Source organism: Homo sapiens, chromosome 15 (assembly GCF_000001405.40).
Source record: "Homo sapiens chromosome 15, GRCh38.p14 Primary Assembly".
NCBI lineage: Eukaryota > Metazoa > Chordata > Mammalia > Primates > Hominidae > Homo > Homo sapiens.
In genome coordinates this window covers 28,247,076-28,264,639 of record NC_000015.10, presented here as the reverse complement: position 1 = coordinate 28,264,639, position 17,564 = coordinate 28,247,076, and the positions used below count along the sequence as shown (strand labels likewise).

General features: G+C 43.5%; 1 protein-coding gene across 10 annotated transcripts in view, besides 1 other annotated feature; it reads left to right on the top strand.

Moving 5' to 3' along the window:
- Positions 1-17,564, top strand: part of HERC2 (HECT and RLD domain containing E3 ubiquitin protein ligase 2) — a 211,140-nt gene that overhangs the window by 57,540 nt on the left and 136,036 nt on the right. For all 10 annotated transcript variants that reach the window (XM_006720727.4, XM_006720726.4, NM_004667.6 and 7 more), the window contains 7 exons: positions 1,471-1,722; positions 3,670-3,863; positions 7,379-7,579; positions 8,323-8,551; positions 8,644-8,768; positions 10,122-10,300; positions 15,904-16,088. In XM_006720727.4, coding sequence (XP_006720790.1) covers positions 1,471-1,722; positions 3,670-3,863; positions 7,379-7,579; positions 8,323-8,551; positions 8,644-8,768; positions 10,122-10,300; positions 15,904-16,088 — 1,365 coding nt within the window. The remainder of the gene's footprint in view (positions 1-1,470; positions 1,723-3,669; positions 3,864-7,378; positions 7,580-8,322; positions 8,552-8,643; positions 8,769-10,121; positions 10,301-15,903; positions 16,089-17,564) is intronic.
- Positions 7,210-7,410: a silencer, noted in NCBI's record as "peak2277 fragment used in MPRA reporter construct". NCBI's record gives its function as "represses an SCP1 promoter by STARR-seq MPRAs in K562 erythroleukemia cells {active_cell/tissue: K562}" and the evidence as "EXISTENCE:reporter gene assay evidence [ECO:0000049][PMID:32103011]".

Here is a 17,564-nt window from a genome sequence, read left to right as displayed (position 1 = left end):
ACTGCCTTGAGTAGGGCTGCAGACATTGTCTTCCTCACACTGGTGTTTCTTTGGTGCAGATCTTGTAGGGAAGTGTCCCTGCTGTGCTGCTATATATTTTCTGAGGCGACTGTTACAGTAGAAGTATCCTACCCTGCAGTCTGGCCTTGGGGGACAGTGGGAAATAGCCAGGTGGGCTATGTGAACAGCATAATTTTCAGCACAGCATATGGAAATGCATGCTCCGATCTCTGTGTTCAGGTCTGCTGTGCCGCTTTCATTGACCATGTAATAGTGCGTCATCTCCAGTTTCCATTTTGCTTGGGGTTGGCCTGTTTTTGCAGGTAGAGTTGTATTGGCATGCAGGCATGCCACTCATTTACGTACTGTCTGTGGCTGCTTTCCTGTGACAGTGGCACAGCTGGGTAGTTGGGACAGAAAGCCCACAGAGGCTAAAAATATTTACCATCTGATCGTTGAGGAAAATATTTGCCTATCTTTAGTTATTATAAAATAGAGTGTGGGAACTTGTGGAGCAATCTGATATCTTCTCTGGTTTCTTTTTCCTGATCTTTTACAGTTTTCACCTTTACGTAATTTCACTTTTTTTTGTTTTTGTTTGTTTTTTTTTTTTTTTTTTGTAAGACAAAGTTTTGCTCTGTCACCCAGGCTGGTGTGCAGTGGTGCAATCTCGGCTCGCCGCAAACTCCACCTCCCGGGGTCAAGCAATTCTCATGCCTCAGCTGGATTATAGATATTCACCACCATGCCTGGCTAATTTCTGTATTTTTAGTACAGACAGGGTTTTGCCATGTTGCCCAGGCTGGTCTCGAACTCCTGGGCTCAAGTGATCCGCCCGCCTTGGCCTCCCAAAGTTCTGGGATTACAGGTGTGAGCTACCATGCCCAGCCTAACAATTCTGTTTTTTAGCAATTCACTTTAAGTTTTTGCAAAGTTTTCAGCTTAGTTTTCACCATAAAAATAAAAATATTTACTTTTGCAATTGCATTTTATCCCTTTATGTAATATTTAATCAACTTACATAATTATGCTGATATGCAGTTGGGAACACATACAGTGGTACAGTTGACCACCGGTCAGCATGGTGGCAACAGAAGCAGGCAGGCAAACGGGAGGGTGGTCCGCAAGCATCTGCAATGTGCCAGGCCCCAGTTACTGTGTGTTATGGAGGCAGTGGGCCTTTGGTTCTGTGAAGCAGTTAACATTGAGCCCAGGCTAGTAAGAGTCAGGACTTTGTTTTTCATGGAATGAAAACAAAAAGAAAACTCAGCTTTCCCTTTCTTTATTGCTTCTATGTCAACCTCAAGTGTCACCTAGATTTCGTTTGCTCAGTAGCCACCCTTGTAGTGTTAACTATGTACCTGAGTGGTCTAGATTAGTGTGCGTTTTTCATTATATTATTTGCAGTCATTTAAAATTTTTCGTTAAAATGCAGAGTTGTTGTTATTTAAATGCATTTGTATTTTTTAGGGCAAGTGTGGTCTTGGGGAGATGGTGACTATGGGAAATTGGGCAGAGGTGGTAGTGATGGCTGCAAAACCCCAAAGCTGATTGAAAAGCTTCAAGACTTGGATGTGGTCAAAGTCCGCTGTGGAAGTCAGTTTTCCATTGCTTTGACGAAAGATGGCCAAGTTTATTCATGGGGAAAAGGTGACAACCAGAGACTTGGACATGGAACAGAGGAACATGTTCGTTATCCAAAACTCTTAGAAGGCTTGCAAGGTGAGTGCAAATGTAAACTTTTAAAACCCTTCAGGACAGTTTCTTTAGTAATGTTTTAAAGTTAGCAGGTTTTATGTTCTTAACCTGACATTCCATGAGTTAGCAGGTTTTATGTTCTTAACCTGACATTCCATGAATGGACTGTCATTAGAAACTTTTACTGCCTGCTTGGTATAGGTATTGATACTAATTGGAAAGTGGGTGTCTATTACAAAATGACTGAAATGTAATTTAAACCTGTTGAGTTGACTTTCTGTGGCAGGCACCCATTAATCACTCAGCAGGCTGGACTCAGTAAGGGTTCCCTCTGTGTGGTGAGGTCACCTGTACTTGTACTGCAGGCACACTGAGACCATGAGTGTGCATTGTGCTGTGGAGCCACATTGGGAGGTGGGATTGGGTCCACTTGGGACACCCTCATGTGAACTCATCCTTGGTGGGTGATTCCTGCTTGCTCAGTTGCAAAGGTGTCCAGCATGCATTGTAGTTGGAGGCAAGAGATGGAAGCCAAGGTATGTAGATAAGAGTGCCGGCGCCTTCAGTGTGGGCTGCCGGTGCAGGCAGAGAGGATGGGAGTCTCTGCAAGAAGACCCTGAGATTCTTCTGTGGTGTTCTTACTAGGGATGTTATGCTGCAGGAAGTTGGGGTGGGGGCCATCAAAACTATGATGTTGGAGGGATCTTTCTAAGGTAAAACAGGACTTTTCCGTACCACCTGGCCTAGTGGTTGGGAGATAGTCTTCATCCTAATCGAGAACTGTTGAAGGGCAGACAAATTGACAAGAAAGTAGGAAGAAGGGAAAAGGCAGTGTGAGAGGTACATCAGATGGACTCTTTAGGGTTCTCTTCTCTCAGGGGTGGGCAGCCTTTTTCTTAAAGGACCAGATTGTATTTGAAGTAGGTGGACCTGGCAGTGTTCCAACACCAGTGTCTTCACAGAAGCAGGCCTTGGGCTGCGTTGTGTGTGGGGGCTGTAGTTCGTTGGGTCCTGGTACTACATACATTCTTTGTGTGTTTGGTTCTTTACCAAGTGGGTTTGGAAGTGGGACTTTTAAGTGAGACTTGCCAGTTCCCTTCTCCATTAGTTTTATTTTAAAGCAGGTTAATATTTTGATGACTGAGAGTTTTGTGCGCCCATATGGTGTTTATTGTTTTCTAAGCTTCTGAGATAAGTTGCAGAGTAAGAAGTTTACTCTGTGTCATTGAATGGTATTTGAATTTCATTTGCCTTCTTGTTTATATTCCCCTCCATTAGTATAGGAAAGCTACGACAATCATTAGTATAGAAATCATTTACTTTGAGGGTATTTAAATTACTGTTGAGAAACACCTTTTTTGTTGCTGATGTTAACTTATGGTAAGTTCCTAGGATAGAATTTTTCCCCTTACTGCAGTGTGGTTTTTCAGCTGAATTATTTTATATACTGACATTTCTGCGAAACACCCTTTGTGTTGGCCATGTTAGATTTACCAGGAAGGAAAAATAGAATATTTTGCTAAGTGTTTAAATAGAAACAATGTTTTAAATATCAGTTATATCTAACTGAGAGAACAATAGATTTCTTCTTAGGAAACCTTCCTCACTGAAGAGTGTGCTATGCATTGTTAAATCTCGGATGGGAGAATATGATCTAATAGTTAATTAAAAGCACCTTGTTTCTTTCTGACTGAAAATCTGAATGAGGAGGAGAAAAAAAAACAGATCCTTTTTGTATCCTAGTATTATGATCTTTGTAGACTGTGGGTCCTAACGAATTGTAGCTGACAAAATACAGCAGTTTTAATAACACACCCAAAGCAAATGAATTGTGCTTAATATTAAAGCAAAGCAGATTATCCTCAAGAAGTTAATGTTAAAAGCTGTCTGACCTGAATGGCCTAGGAAATATCTTTCTTGCAGCGGAAGTCATAGGCTTGAAGCTGCATCTGCATCCCTCTTCCCTTGTAGGGAAGAAGGTGATTGATGTGGCTGCAGGCTCCACCCACTGCCTGGCTCTGACTGAGGACAGCGAGGTCCACAGCTGGGGGAGCAACGACCAGTGCCAGCACTTTGACACCTTGCGCGTGACCAAGCCAGAACCTGCAGCATTGCCAGGACTGGACACCAAACACATAGTGGGAATTGCCTGTGGGCCTGCCCAGGTACTGAATATAGAGCTTGATTTGGTATTTTGGAGGATTTTGGTTTCCAGTTGTTCATTACCAGTATGTAGAAAATACCACTGAGTTTTGTTTGTTGTTCTTGTGTCCTGCAGTTGTGCTAAACTCATTTATTATGAGCTTCACTGTAGTTTCCTTGGGTTTTCTTCATGGACAATTAAATGCTATCTGTATAGAGGGGCAGTTTCATTTCTTCCTTTCCAGTCTGCTCGCCTTTTATGTCTTTTCCCGGCCTGATTGCCCTGGCCAGGACTTGCAGTGTGAAGCTGAATAGGAGAGGTGACAGTGGGCACCCTGCCTTGATCCTGACTGTAGGGGAAGGCAGTTCAGTCTTTCACCATCAACTGTGATGTTAGCTGTGGGTATTTATGTAGATGCCTTATTATCAGATTAAGGGAGTGTCTTTAATTCCCCGTTTTAGAAGCTTCTAAAAAATCCTGACTGGATGTTAAAATTTGTTAAATGCTTTTAATCTTCTCAAATGAAATGGTCATGCAGTTTTCCTTCTTTAGTGTGTTAGTATGGTGTATTACATGATGCTTTTTACTTTTCTTTTTCTTAAACATTTTTTTTTTTTCTTTTTTGGAGATACGGTTTCACTATGTTGCCCAGGCTGGTCTCGAACTCCTGAGCTCTAGCGATCTGCCTGCCTTGGCCTCCCAAAGTGCTGGGATTACAGGTGTGAGGCACTGCACCAGCCTGATTTTTAAATACTGATCAAGCCTTGTGTTACTTGGATAGGCATCACTTGGCCACAATTTACTACTCTTTTTTTTTTTTTTTTTTTTTGCCAGATGGAGTCTCACTCTGTCACCCAGACTGGAGTGCATTGGTGCAATCTCAGCTCTCTGCAACCTGTGCCTCCTGGGTTCACGCAATTCTCCTGCGTCAGCCTCCTGAGTAGCTGGGATTATAGGTGTGCACTACCATGCCTGGCTAATTTTTGTATTTTTTTTTTTTCTTTTTAGTGGAGATGGGGTTTCACCATGTTGGCCAGCCTGGTCTCCAACTCCTGACCTCAAGTGATCCATCCTCCTTGGCATCCCAAAGTGCTGGGATTACAGGTGTGAGCCACTGTGCCTGGCCCTATTCTGTTTCTGTATTGCAAAATTTGACTTGCTAACAGGTTGTTGAGGATTTTTCTGTTGATGCTCATTAGAGATGTTGGTTTGTGGTTTTCTTTCTTTGTGTTATACTATCTTGTCTGACTTTCTATCAGGGGAAAGCTGACCTTATACAAAATATTGGCATGTGTTCCGTCCTTTTTCATTTTCTATAAGGGATTGTGTAGAATTAGTGTTATTTCTTCTTTAAATGTTTTTGAATCCCATCTGAGTCTGGAGATTGCTTTCTAAAAGATTTTACGCCAGACACAGTGGCTCACGCCTGTAATCCCAGCACGTTGGGAGGCCGAGATGGGTGGATCACCTGAGGTCAGGAGTTTGAGACCAGCCTGGCTAACATGGTGAAACCTGTTTCTACTAAAAATACAAAAATTTCGTCGAGCTTGGTGATGTGCGCCTGTAATCCCAGCTACTCAGGAGGCTAAGGCAGGAGAATCGCTTGAATCTGGGAGGCAGAAATTGCAGTGAGCCGGGATGGCGCCATTGCACTCCAGCTTGGGCAACAAGAGCGAAACTCCGTCTCAAAAAAACAAAAACAAACAAAAAAAAGATTTTGCAACTTCAATTTCTTTAACAGATATAGAAGTATTCAGGTGACCTGTTTGTTTCTAGGAGGATTTTCCTGATTTTTGGCCCTCAGATGTGCTTTACTTCATCTACGTTGTCTGATTTTTACGTGTCAAGTTTTCCTTAGTATTCTCTTGCTGTCTGAAGTCTGTGGGGCCTGCGGTGATGTCCCTTCATTCATTCTTGATTCTGATAATTTGTATCTTTTCTGTTTTTTTCTTTGTCAGTTTTCCTAGAGTTTTTCAATTTTGTTGATCTTTTCAAAGAACAATCTTTTCGTTTCATTAATTTTTCCCTTTTGTTTTGCTTTCAATCTCATTGATTTCTGCTTTTGTCTTGTCATTTGTCCCTTTGGCTTGTTTTGCGTTCACTTTGTTCTTTTTCTAGTTTCTTAAGGCGGAAACTTAGATTGCTGATTTAGACCTATCTTTTTTTTGTAATAGATAATGATTTGATGCTATAAATTTTCCTGTTTAGCAGTGCTTTAATTAAACCTACAAATTTTGGCGCATTTTCATGTATGTTCAAAATATTTTATAATTTCTCTTGAGAATTGTTTTTTTGACCCATGGATGATTATTATTATTATTATTTTGAGATGGAGTTTTGGTCTTATTGCCCAGGCCGGAGTGCAATGACATGATCTCAGCTCACGGCAACCTCTGTCTCCCGGGTTCAAGCAATTCTCCTGCCTCAGCTTCCTGATTAGCTGGGACTACCGGCATGCACCAGCATGCTTGGCTAATTTTTTTGTATTTTCAGTAGAGATGGGGTTTCTCCATGTTGGCCAGGTTGTCTTGAAATCCTGACCTCAGGTGATCCCCGCCGCCTTGGCCTCCCAAAGTGTTTGGATTACAGGCGTGAGCCACTGCGCCCGGCCTGACCCATGGATTATTAAGTATGTTGTTTAATTTTGAAGTGTTTGTAGATTGTTCTGTTCATGATTTCTAGTTTAATACCATTGTGATTGGAGAACAAACTGTATATGATTTCATTTCTTTTAAATTTGTTAAGATTTGTTTTATGTCTCAGGATATGTTCTCTCTTAGTGAACATTCTGTATGTGCTTAAAAAGTATATGTATGGCCAGGTGCGGTGGCTCACGCTTGTAATTCCAGCACTTTGGGAGGCTGAGGCGGGCAGATCATGAGGTCAGGTGATGGAGACCATCCTGACTAACACCATGAAACCCTGTCTCTACTGAAAATACAAAAAAAAAATTAGCCAGGCTTGGTGGCGGGCACCTGTAGTCCCAGCTACTTGGGAGGCTGAGGCTCCAGTCTGGGTGACAGAGTGAGACTCTGTCTCAAAAAAAAAAAAAAGTATATGTATTTTGTTGTTGTTGGGTGAAATGTTCTATAAATTAGATCCAGTTTATTCATAGTGTTCCACCGTTCTCTTAGATCCTTGCCGATTACTTGTTATTTCACTGTGAAAGGTTGTGTGTGTGTCATATGCATCTAACAATTCGTTGTCTAGTTAGAGTTGCTATTATACCACTTCAAGTGGATGGAGATCCTCACTGCCATCCATTAATGTCATTAATCGTTTTGAGAGTGAAAAGATTGTTAAAAATGCTTTTACTTTTTTAGGTATGGCCAAATGAGATGGGCTAGTGAAATGGGTGGGAAAATCGGAAGCTGATAGTGTGTGAGCTAGACATCCATGAATGCCTTTGGACTGGGCAGTTCGAGGGATGATAGGTAATAGTATAAGGCAGCTCCATCACACACGCTGGTGACTCCTGTGGAGCAGACCAGCAGCTGCATTTGGAGATTCATTTTAGATTGTTGCGTTTCCTCTTAGAGCTTTGCTTGGTCATCATGTTCTGAGTGGTCCATTGGCCTCCGTGTCCCTTTTGTGGTGGACATCTGCTCAATGACTTTTGAGCAGCTGGATCTCCTGCTTCGGCAGGTGAGTGAGGGGATGGATGGTTCCGCGGACTGGCCCCCGCCCCAGGAGAAAGAGTGTGTGGCCGTGGCAACGCTGAATCTTCTACGACTTCAGGTATTCATGATTTCCCTTCTTCTTCCTCCTTTTGTAAGTGTCTTAGGGATTTGTAAGAAGGTTTATGTATTTTGAAGGGCATGGGTTTTAGCCTGTTCGGTGAAATATTTTAAAGTAAGATTGTAATGCACTAATAATGGACGCGAGTCTTAAAAAACATGATCTGGGCTGGGCGCGGTGGCTCACGCCTGTAATCCCAGCACTTTTGGGAGGCCTGGGCGGGTGGATCACGAGGTCAGGAGATCGAGACCATCCCGGCTAACATGGTGAAACCCCGTCTCTACTAAAAATACAAAAAATTAGCCAGTTGTGGTGGCGGGCGCCTGTAGTTCCAGCTACTCGGGAGGCTGAGTCAGGAAAATGGCATGAACTGGGGAGGCAGAGCTTGCAGTGAGCCGAGATTGCACCTGTGGCAGCTTTTTTGGTTGAGTTGTAGCTGTTATTTCTGTGTTTGGTGCAGATTGTTGGCGCGGGGTGGAGGTTGCTGTTGCTAGTTGTTTAGCTCTTCTGCTGATCTTGAGCTTTCCATAAACATGTTCATAGTGGGGTTAAAAAGATTCCTCTAGCAAATACCTCAACTATTGTGGGTAAGAGTTTTTTTAGTCCAGTTTTTAAAAATACATAAACTGAGAAATTGTCTATTTAAATAATACTTGAAATTGACTTTTATTCAGTGTTTAATAAGACTTTGAAATTCACTCATTTTTAGGGGTTCTAAGTGAAAATTGTTTTTCTCCTTTCAGTTGCATGCTGCCATTAGTCACCAGGTTGACCCGGAATTCCTTGGTTTAGGTCTGGGCAGCATCCTCCTGAACAGCCTGAAGCAGACGGTGGTGACCCTGGCCAGCAGTGCGGGCGTGCTGAGCACCGTGCAGTCGGCCGCCCAGGCCGTGCTGCAGAGTGGCTGGTCCGTGCTGCTGCCCACCGCGGAGGAGCGGGCCCGGGCACTCTCTGCTCTCCTGCCCTGCGCAGGTGGGCCTGGGGAAGGAACAGGAGAGGGCATGGGTCAGGGTGTTGGGAGGGAATGGCGTTTCACTCAAATTGGCACACACTTTCTATTTCAGTTTCAGGCAATGAAGTGAACATAAGTCCAGGTCGTCGATTCATGATTGATCTTCTGGTGGGCAGCTTGATGGCTGATGGAGGGTTGGAGTCAGCCTTACACGCAGCCATTACTGCAGAGATCCAGGTATGGCTTTGGAGGCACACGTGACCTGGTGGTGCACTGAGATCAGAAATACCACACTCACACACGTGAAGAATAACTGAAAACAGTAAAACTCTAAACTTTTATCATATCCAAGTATTTTTTAAATTAAAATTCTTTTATGTGCCAATTTACAAAATTATTGAGATATGATTTAATTGTGATAAAATACTGCATGTTGTCTGTTTCAGTGAAGTTAACAGGTAACCTGTTCCTCATGTAGACCATTCCCGTTACCCGGAAAGATCCCTGTGCCCTTGGCACTTGCAGCCAGGATACTCCCCTGCCCTGAGATTAGATTCATTTTTCCTGCTCTGAGTGTCGCAGCAATATAACTATATAGTATGCACTCTTTCTTGCTTTGCCTTGGAGAATGATTTTCAGATTCACTCACTGTTGTGTGTATTGTGACTTCTTTTTTATTATTGGGAAGTATTCCATTTTATAGGTGTAGTACTGTTTGTTCATTCTCCTATTGAAGGACGTTTAATTGCTTTTGGTTTTTGTTTTCTTTTTTTTTGAGACAGCGTCTTGCTCTGTCACCGAGGCTGGATGCAGTGACCTGATGTTGGCTCACTGCAGCCTTGTCCTCCTAGGCTCAAATGATCCTGCCACCTCAGCCTCCTGTTTTGCAGGGACCACAGACATGTCACCATGCCCGGCTAGTTTTGTGATTTTTTTGTAGAGACAAGGTGTTACTATGTTGCACAGGCTGGTCTCGAACTCCTGGGCTCCAGTGATCCCCCCACCTTGTCCTCCCAAAGTGTTGGGATTACAAGCATGAGCGACCACGCCCAGGCTTTCTGGTTTTTGGCCATGTAGAGCTGCCACGGTTGTGCTGTGTACAAGTACTTTAGTGAACATATGTTCTCCTTTTGGGTAAACACTTGGAGTGGAATTTGTTAGGTCCTGGGGCAGGTGCGTGTTCATAGTTTCCCCAAGTGGCTTTGCCATTTACATTTGAACAAGTATGTGAGAATTCCAGCTTCTTCTTGTCCTTACAAAGCAGCTGGATGTTGCATGTGTGGGGCACATCACATTGGGTTTTGTGAGAGCCAGTAGCAGGGTTAAGGATTTTAGGGACTTCACAGAAGGATGCTGGAGAGCATCAGCAGAGGCAGCCTGGACCTTGATTCTGTAAAAAGAAGACACTGTTTGAAACTGCACAACTGAGTTAGGGTTTCCAACAAGGCAGATGGGGGCCTGTGGGTAGGTGTGTGCATTAGCCACAGAGGCTGGGATAGCTTGGCACTGGGGTTAGGGCTCAGCCAGCCTGTGTGTCTTCACACCTGGTAATGAGATCACTTGTAAACAATTTCTTTTTATGAATTACAGGATATTGAAGCCAAAAAAGAAGCACAGAAGGAAAAAGAAATTGATGAACAGGAAGCGAATGCCTCAACATTTCATAGAAGCAGGACTCCACTGGATAAAGACCTTATTAATACGGGGATCTGTGAGTCTTCTGGCAAACAGTGTTTGCCTCTGGTTCAGCTCATACAACAGCTTCTTAGGTAAATCGTAGTAGCTGTATTGTATTATATGTTATTTATTTACTTTTTTTTGTGTGTGTGACAGAGTTCGCTCTTGTTGCCCAGGCCGGAGTGCTATGGCGCCATCTTGGCTCACTGCAAGCTCCGCCTCCCAGGTTCAAGTGATTCTCTTGCCTCAGCCTCTCACACAGCTGGGATTACAGGTGTGTGCCACCACACCCGACTAATCTTGTAGTTTTAGTAGAGACGGGGTTTCTTCATGGTGGTCAGGCTTGTCTTGAACTCCTGACCTCAGGTGATCCGCCCGCCTTGGCCTCCCAAAGTGTTGGGATTACAGGCATCACCCACCACTCCCGGTCTATTTATGTACTTATTATTTTTTTTTAATATTTATTTTTTAAGACGGAATCTCGCTCTATTGCCCAGGCTGGAGTGCAGTGTCATGATCTTGGCTCACTGCAACCTCTGCCTCCTGGGTTCTAGCAATTCTCCTGCCTCAGCCTCCCAAGTAGCTGGGACTACAGGCGTCCGCAACCACACCTGGCTGATTTTTGTATTTTTAGTAGAGACGGGGTTTCAAAATATTGGTCAGGCTGGTCTCAAACTCCTGACCTCAGGTGATCTACCCGCCTTGGCCTCTGAAAGTGTTGGGATTTCAGGCGTAAGCCACTGTTCCCGGCCTGTATTGTATTTTAGTAGGTGATTATTGGTTTTCATATTAAGATAGTGAAATCTAGCACAAGGATCTCAAAAATTTGTTTGGTGGTTGAAGGAATATTCTGAAAATTACCTAGTATAGATGTTAGAATAAAGAGCAGACCCTTTTCAATATAGGTGAGAGGAGAAGTTGGAGGGTGTGATGATACTCAGAAGTTTTTCACTGAAGAGAAATTGCGGTGTGCAGTAAACATGTAAAAAGATTCTTACTAATAAGCAGGTGGATGCAAATGAAAATCATCATGGAAAGGTTATTTTTAAAACTGGTTCTATCATTGCCTCACTTTACATATTACAGAGTTGTACATACTACTTTGTAAGGTAACTTTTCTTTTCAAAACTAAAGTCAATGTGAAAGAATGGTGAGCATTATTTTGGAAGGCCAGACTAGGAGGAGGTGGGAAGAAGAAGTCAGAGTCAGCCTGTGAACAGAGGCTAACCTTGGCAGAAGCCAAAACGGTCAGTGTTGTGTAAAAATGATCACCCAAGAAGAGCGAAAAAGCAAGGTGATTTGTGAAAGAGATTAGAAAGTGAAACACATTTGTACCTCTATGTAATAAAAATCTGCTTTTTGTAAACTTGGGCTCCTGGTTTTAGTTTCTACACATAGAGAAAGCAAAGCACTGGCAGGTTGGGTCAGGCAGCCGAGCACAGAGCAGGGAGCCCTGGGCAGTGGCCACAGCTCTCAGCTGGCCTATTCATGGGACCATGGTGGGTCTGTGGTGTGGGTTGGGCCTGTGGCGTGGGGTGGGCCTGCTGTCCACAACCAGAAAAACGAACTTAGTAGACGCACAGTGAAATTTTGAAACAGGAAGTTTTAGAGCTAGTTTCTATCATAGATTTTAGTAAATTCTATTTTGCAAAACCTTTTTCTGATGTTTGTTTTGTTTTTCTAATCTGATAATGCATATTTCATACATTCTGGTCTTTAACCAATGGAAATAAAGAGAACTAAACTTCATATAGTTTGTGTTAATGGAAAGAGCTTGGAATTTGTTCTCATAAAATTTCAGTTGCAACAGCTTGTTCACATAGATGAACTTCCAACACAGTAACTATAGGAATAAGAATAAAAGCCGTGTTTACTTTCATGGAGTTAATTAAGAATCAATGAGAACATGGAAGTTAAAACCTTTGTAATTAAAATGTAAAGTTCCACGCAAAGTTTTAAAGTGAGCATTTTCCAGAGGTGCTTTTCTAAGTTCTTGAATGCCCCTCCCTTTTCTGAGGAGGCTGCTTCATGGGCTATTGGTGTCTTTGGCAGGGGGTGAGTCTAGGGTTCCTGTTGTGGGTCCTTTGTTCTCACGAGGGCAGTGCCCGTTTTCCCCGTCTCCTGCTTGCCCAGAATGTTCCCGTGCACCGAGACTGGCCTGTTTGACCTGCAACTATGCTGTTTGAGCTGCAGCTGTGTAGCCTGCGCTGGCCCGTCTGGCTACACTCAACACCGTTTGCTGATCAGCACTTGAAGTGTATCCATCATAGCTGAGACACTGAATATTTTATCTGTTTAATTTTTATTAATTAAAATGCAGGTTTAAAAACTTGATTCCGTTATTAGGAAGCACTTAAGTATGTTTAGAATCACTTGGCCATGTGAGTCTACTTCGTCAACTGTGTATTTTATGAGTCTAGGGCAGATCAGATATTTTCAATGCAAATATCACTGTCCAAATTGAAATGTGCTACATATGTAAGCTACCCTGATGGTTTTTGAGGATTTAATATGAAATAACCTATGTAAAATATCTCAATAATTTTTCTTATAGTGATATCATGTTGAAATGGTAATATTTTCAATCTGTTGGGATAAGTATGACACATTATTAAAATTATTTTTATTTTTTGAGATGGAGTCTTGCTCTGTTGCCCAGGCTGGAGTGCGGTTGCATAATCTTGGCTCACTGTAACCTCTGCCTCTTGGCTTCAAGTGATTCTCCTGCCTCAGCCTCCCGAGCAGCTGGGACCACAGGCGTACACCACCACGCCTTGCTGATTTTTGTATTTTTGTAGAGACAGGGTTTCACCATGTTGGCCAGGCTGGTCTCGAACTCCTGACCTCAAGTAATCTGCCCGCCTTGGCCTCCCAAAGTGCTGGGATTGCAGGCGTGAGCCACCGCGCCTGGCCATTATTAAAATTAGTTTTATGTGTTTTTTTGTTTTTTTTTTTTACTTAATGTGACTAAGGACAATTTTTTTCCCCCGAGATGGAGCCTCACTCTGTTGCCCAGACTGGAGTGCAGTGGCACGATCTCAGCTCACTGCAGCCTCTGCCTCCTGGGTTCAAATGATTCTCCTGCCTCAGCCTCCTGAGTGGCTGGGACTACAGGTGCATGCCACCATACCTGACTAATTTTTGTATTTTTAGTAGAGATGGGGTTTCCCCATGTTGGCTGGGGTGGTCTTGAACTCCCAACCTGAGGTAATCTGCCCGCCTTGGCCTCCAAAAGTGTTGGGATTACAGGTGTGAGCCACTGCACCTGGCCACATTTATTAATACAACCAAGAACATTTTGAATTGCACCTGTAGCTCCATTGGTGTCCTCGGCAGGTGGCTCTGTGCTGTCCACACAGGTTGTCTCCTGTGTCTTCATCCTTGCTGCATGTGACTTTTTGGTTCCTGTGGCACGTGGGGTCCTGTATGGGACATTGGTTCTACAGCAGATTTGTAATAAGGATGTACGTACTTAAAAAATACAAAATAAAAAGAATAGACACAAACATAGTTATCACCTCACAAAAATTTTGGAAAGTAGAAAAAGAAAAATGCATTCGCAGCTTTCCAGTAGCCGATATCCAGGCTGTCTTCATAAGCATGGATCATGTGTCCCTCTCCTGCATGGGTAGACACTGTTTTCTCACCTTAAGTGTTTGTGAGTGAAGGATTCTTGATGTGTTGACTTGGCAGATGCAGTTGTTGAACAGTAGTTTATCTAAAGATCGTAAGAGACTTTTGGAGACATTTCATGTCCTTTTTTCCCTTGGAAAACGTGAGTTGGAGAAATCGCTGCTTGCCAAAAATAAGCCGTGAAACGTATTTCAGAGTAGATCGTTATTTACATGCTGGCGAGGAGCCACAGAATACCATTTACATTTGAAAATAGAGCGCTGTGAAGTTTTTATAAGTAGTGAACCCCATCAGAATTACACGTTTTGATTATGGCTCTAAATTTTATATTAAATAAACTAAAAATTTCATTGTATTGTATTACCGTCTCTTGCTCCTTCAGGTGTAGCATACATGTTAGATTCTAGACCTGTTTCTTGTGTTACAGTGGTGTTATCCAGGCAGGGTATCAGGTAGTGAAGGTGATGTCTGGTGGTGGTGAGCCCAGTGAGGGCGCATCCTTGCCGTGTGTGATGAGGGCCTGTGGGTTGCTATGGGATTCCCCAACCCTGGCTCCTCTGTCTCCTGCTTCTGTCCTTACTCATGCTGCTGGTAGTTTTTTCTGGTGTGAGCCACGGGGGCAAGTGGGATTGACAAGCCTGCTGTCACATTAGGAACCTGAGTTAAAGTGGAGCTGAAAGCATGTCCTCACTCTTGGTGTTGTGCAGAGAGCCACCTGTGCTCCTGGCTCAACGGGGCGGGTGGGGTGGGTCTGGAACCAGGCTCTGGTTGGGCTCTCCTCCCCTCCGTGTTCCCATGTCCTGTCTGATTTGCTTTCACATTGACATAAGAGTTAGTTTCCTTAGGCCGGGCGTGGTGGCTCACGCCTGTAATCCCAGCACTTTGGGAGGCTGAGGCGGGTGAATCACGAGGTCGGGAAATCGAGACCATCCTGGGTTTACATAGTGAAAGCCCGTCTCCACTTAAAAAAAAAAAAAAAAAAAGTTAGCTTGGCGTGGTGGCGTGTGCCTGTAATTCCCAGCTACTCGGGAGGCTGAGGCAGGAGAATCGCTTTAACCCGGGAGGCGGAGGTTGCAGTGAGCTGAGATCATGTCACTGCACTCCAGCCTGGCAACAAAGCTAGACTCTGTCTCAAAAAAAAGAGTTACTTTCCTTAAACACACAGAAGGTGTTATTTTCCTATCATAACCTTGGTGGGTTGGCATTGCAGACTCTGGTCCCACAGCCTGACATTCCATTACCTGCACTGTCTCTCCCTTGCTTCCTTGTGTTGTTCTCCTGCCCTTGTTTCTTGGTGTTCTGCTGAGGAACCAGAAACATTCACTGCTCTCCTAACTTTACCTTCTGGGAACATATGTTTCTTCTCTTTTCTTGTCATCTTCCAATGGCTCATGGCTCAAGTCACATCACAGTGTTGGAACTGGAGCCTCTTCTACTTTCTTCGCTGCCGTGCTCTTTGGGCACCTGCTTTGGTCTTCCTTCCTGGACTCCCTGAGCCCTCGGCACCTGCTGCATGGCCCACCCCAGTGCTGCTTGCGAGTAAGGGCTCAAGGTGGACTTGCAAGGCAGATGTGGCAATGCAGGCGAGTCTTGTCTTGAAGAGTAGTATCACATTGCTGTTTGAAATGCAGCTTTGGACAAAAAATAATGACACTGTGTTTGTTCTTTCTAGAGGGTCAGATATTTCTATATTAGCCTCATCAGTATTTTAAATTTCGTTGTCTTAATGTTTACATTCCTTAAACATTGGGAATGTGGAAGTATTCCTTTGGAAGCAAGATCTTCTGCAGTTTGGACCACTGCGCGCAGCTCCATAGGCGCACATTAGTGAAGCACGAGGGCATCATTATCTCTTTTGAGCCTTCCGTGCCCTTCTGCTCCGTTTTGGCTGAGGTTGCGCTTGTTGCAGATACATTGGACACACTTGGGGAGGGAAGCCAGCTGCAGGTCATCATGTATGATCTGTGTTTGTGATATTAATTTGTCATGATTTACCCCATCCCATTTTCTTTTTAGTAGAAATATCTTGTTTAATTTTGTAATCCTCTTCTTTCCTGTATAGAAACATTGCTTCTCAGACTGTAGCCAGATTGAAAGATGTTGCCCGTCGGATTTCATCATGTCTGGACTTTGAGCAACACAGTCGTGAAAGATCTGCTTCATTGGATTTGTTACTGCGTTTTCAACGTTTGCTTATTAGTAAACTTTATCCAGGAGAAAGTATTGGTCAGACCTCAGATATTTCTAGTAAGTTGCTTAAAATGTGAAAGTGTCTTGTATGTGATCGGGGCTCGTTACTTTAGGCTTTTCGACGTGTCCATCCTATATGCCCAGATGTGTAGTTGTTATACTACTAAATGCACCAATTTTGGGGCTTCATTTTGCATCCACTTTTTTGAGTTGGACCTTTCTATAATAGCCTCGTTAATATTTTTAATTTTGTTGCCTTAATATTTAAATTCTTTAGACATCAGTAATAGCATCCTGTATGTTCAGTTTAGTCTTACAGAAGATTTATCAGATTTGTTCCATGTGCTATGGAATGCTGGAGACTGGCATGATGTAGGAAGTAAACAGTGACAGCCTATTCATATGTCACATGGGGGAGCCAGCTGGGTGGAATGGGAAGAACTGTTGGAGAAAGCCTGGGTTTCAGTTACAGCTCGGCTTAATAGTTTAGACATTAGACCAAGTCTAATGGGGCCAAAGACTTCTCACCTGCAGACTTGGGATAATCCCTGAGGCAGCCTGTGAGAATCAGAACAGAATGGTGTGTAAGTGCTCAGTGCTGTGCACTGTTGAGGGAATGGTTCCCCTTCTTCAGCATCCAGGGCAGCGGCTGGCCCTCCATCATGAGGCTTTCTCTGTCAAGGATGGAAAGCTCTGCTGCTTCCATTAGTAATTTTGTAGCTGTTTTTTTCCCAAAGTAACTTAATTACTTTCTGAAGAGTTAGGCTCTTGTCAGTAATGGAAACTTTCAGGTTTCAGTAGGTGAGCTGATAGTTTGAAAGAGGTGACCATCTTAAAGACAAAGTCACAAGGACTGAAAAGCTATTAAGAACCATGTAGGAGGCTGGGTGTGGTGGCTCACGCCTGTAATCCCAGCACTTTGGGAGGCCAAGGTGGGCGGATCACAAGGTCAGGAGTTCAAGACCAGCCTGACCAACATAGTGAAACCCCGTCTCTACTAAAAATACAAAAAATTAGCTGGGCATAGTGGCAGGTGCCTGTAATCCCAGCTACTCCGGAGGCTGAGGCAGGAGAATCGCTTGAACCCAGGAGGCGGAGGTTGCAGTGAGCCGAGATCAGACCATTGCATTCCAGCCTGGGCGACAAGAGTGAAACTCGGTCTCAAAAAAAAAAAAAAAAAAAAAAAAGAACCATGTAGACAGAAAAACTGAAGATTTTATGGAGCAGAAAAGTGCCTAACTTTGTTTTTTGGGAATAATTTACAAGCTTTTAGGAAACATTTGTGTACTAGATATAAAATTTTAAAAATTTAGAGCTGGGTGTGGTAGTGCATGCCTGTAGATCTAACTACTCAGGAGGCTGAGGCAGGAGGATCACTTGAGCCCAGGGGTTCGAGTCCAATCTGGGCAACATGGTGAGACCCCCGTCTGTTAAAAAAAAAAATCTTTAAATTAAATTATGACTTTAGTGTTCATACACCCAAAATTTCTAGGTACTCTGTAGTGCAGGGTATAAAACTTGACATAAAAACCC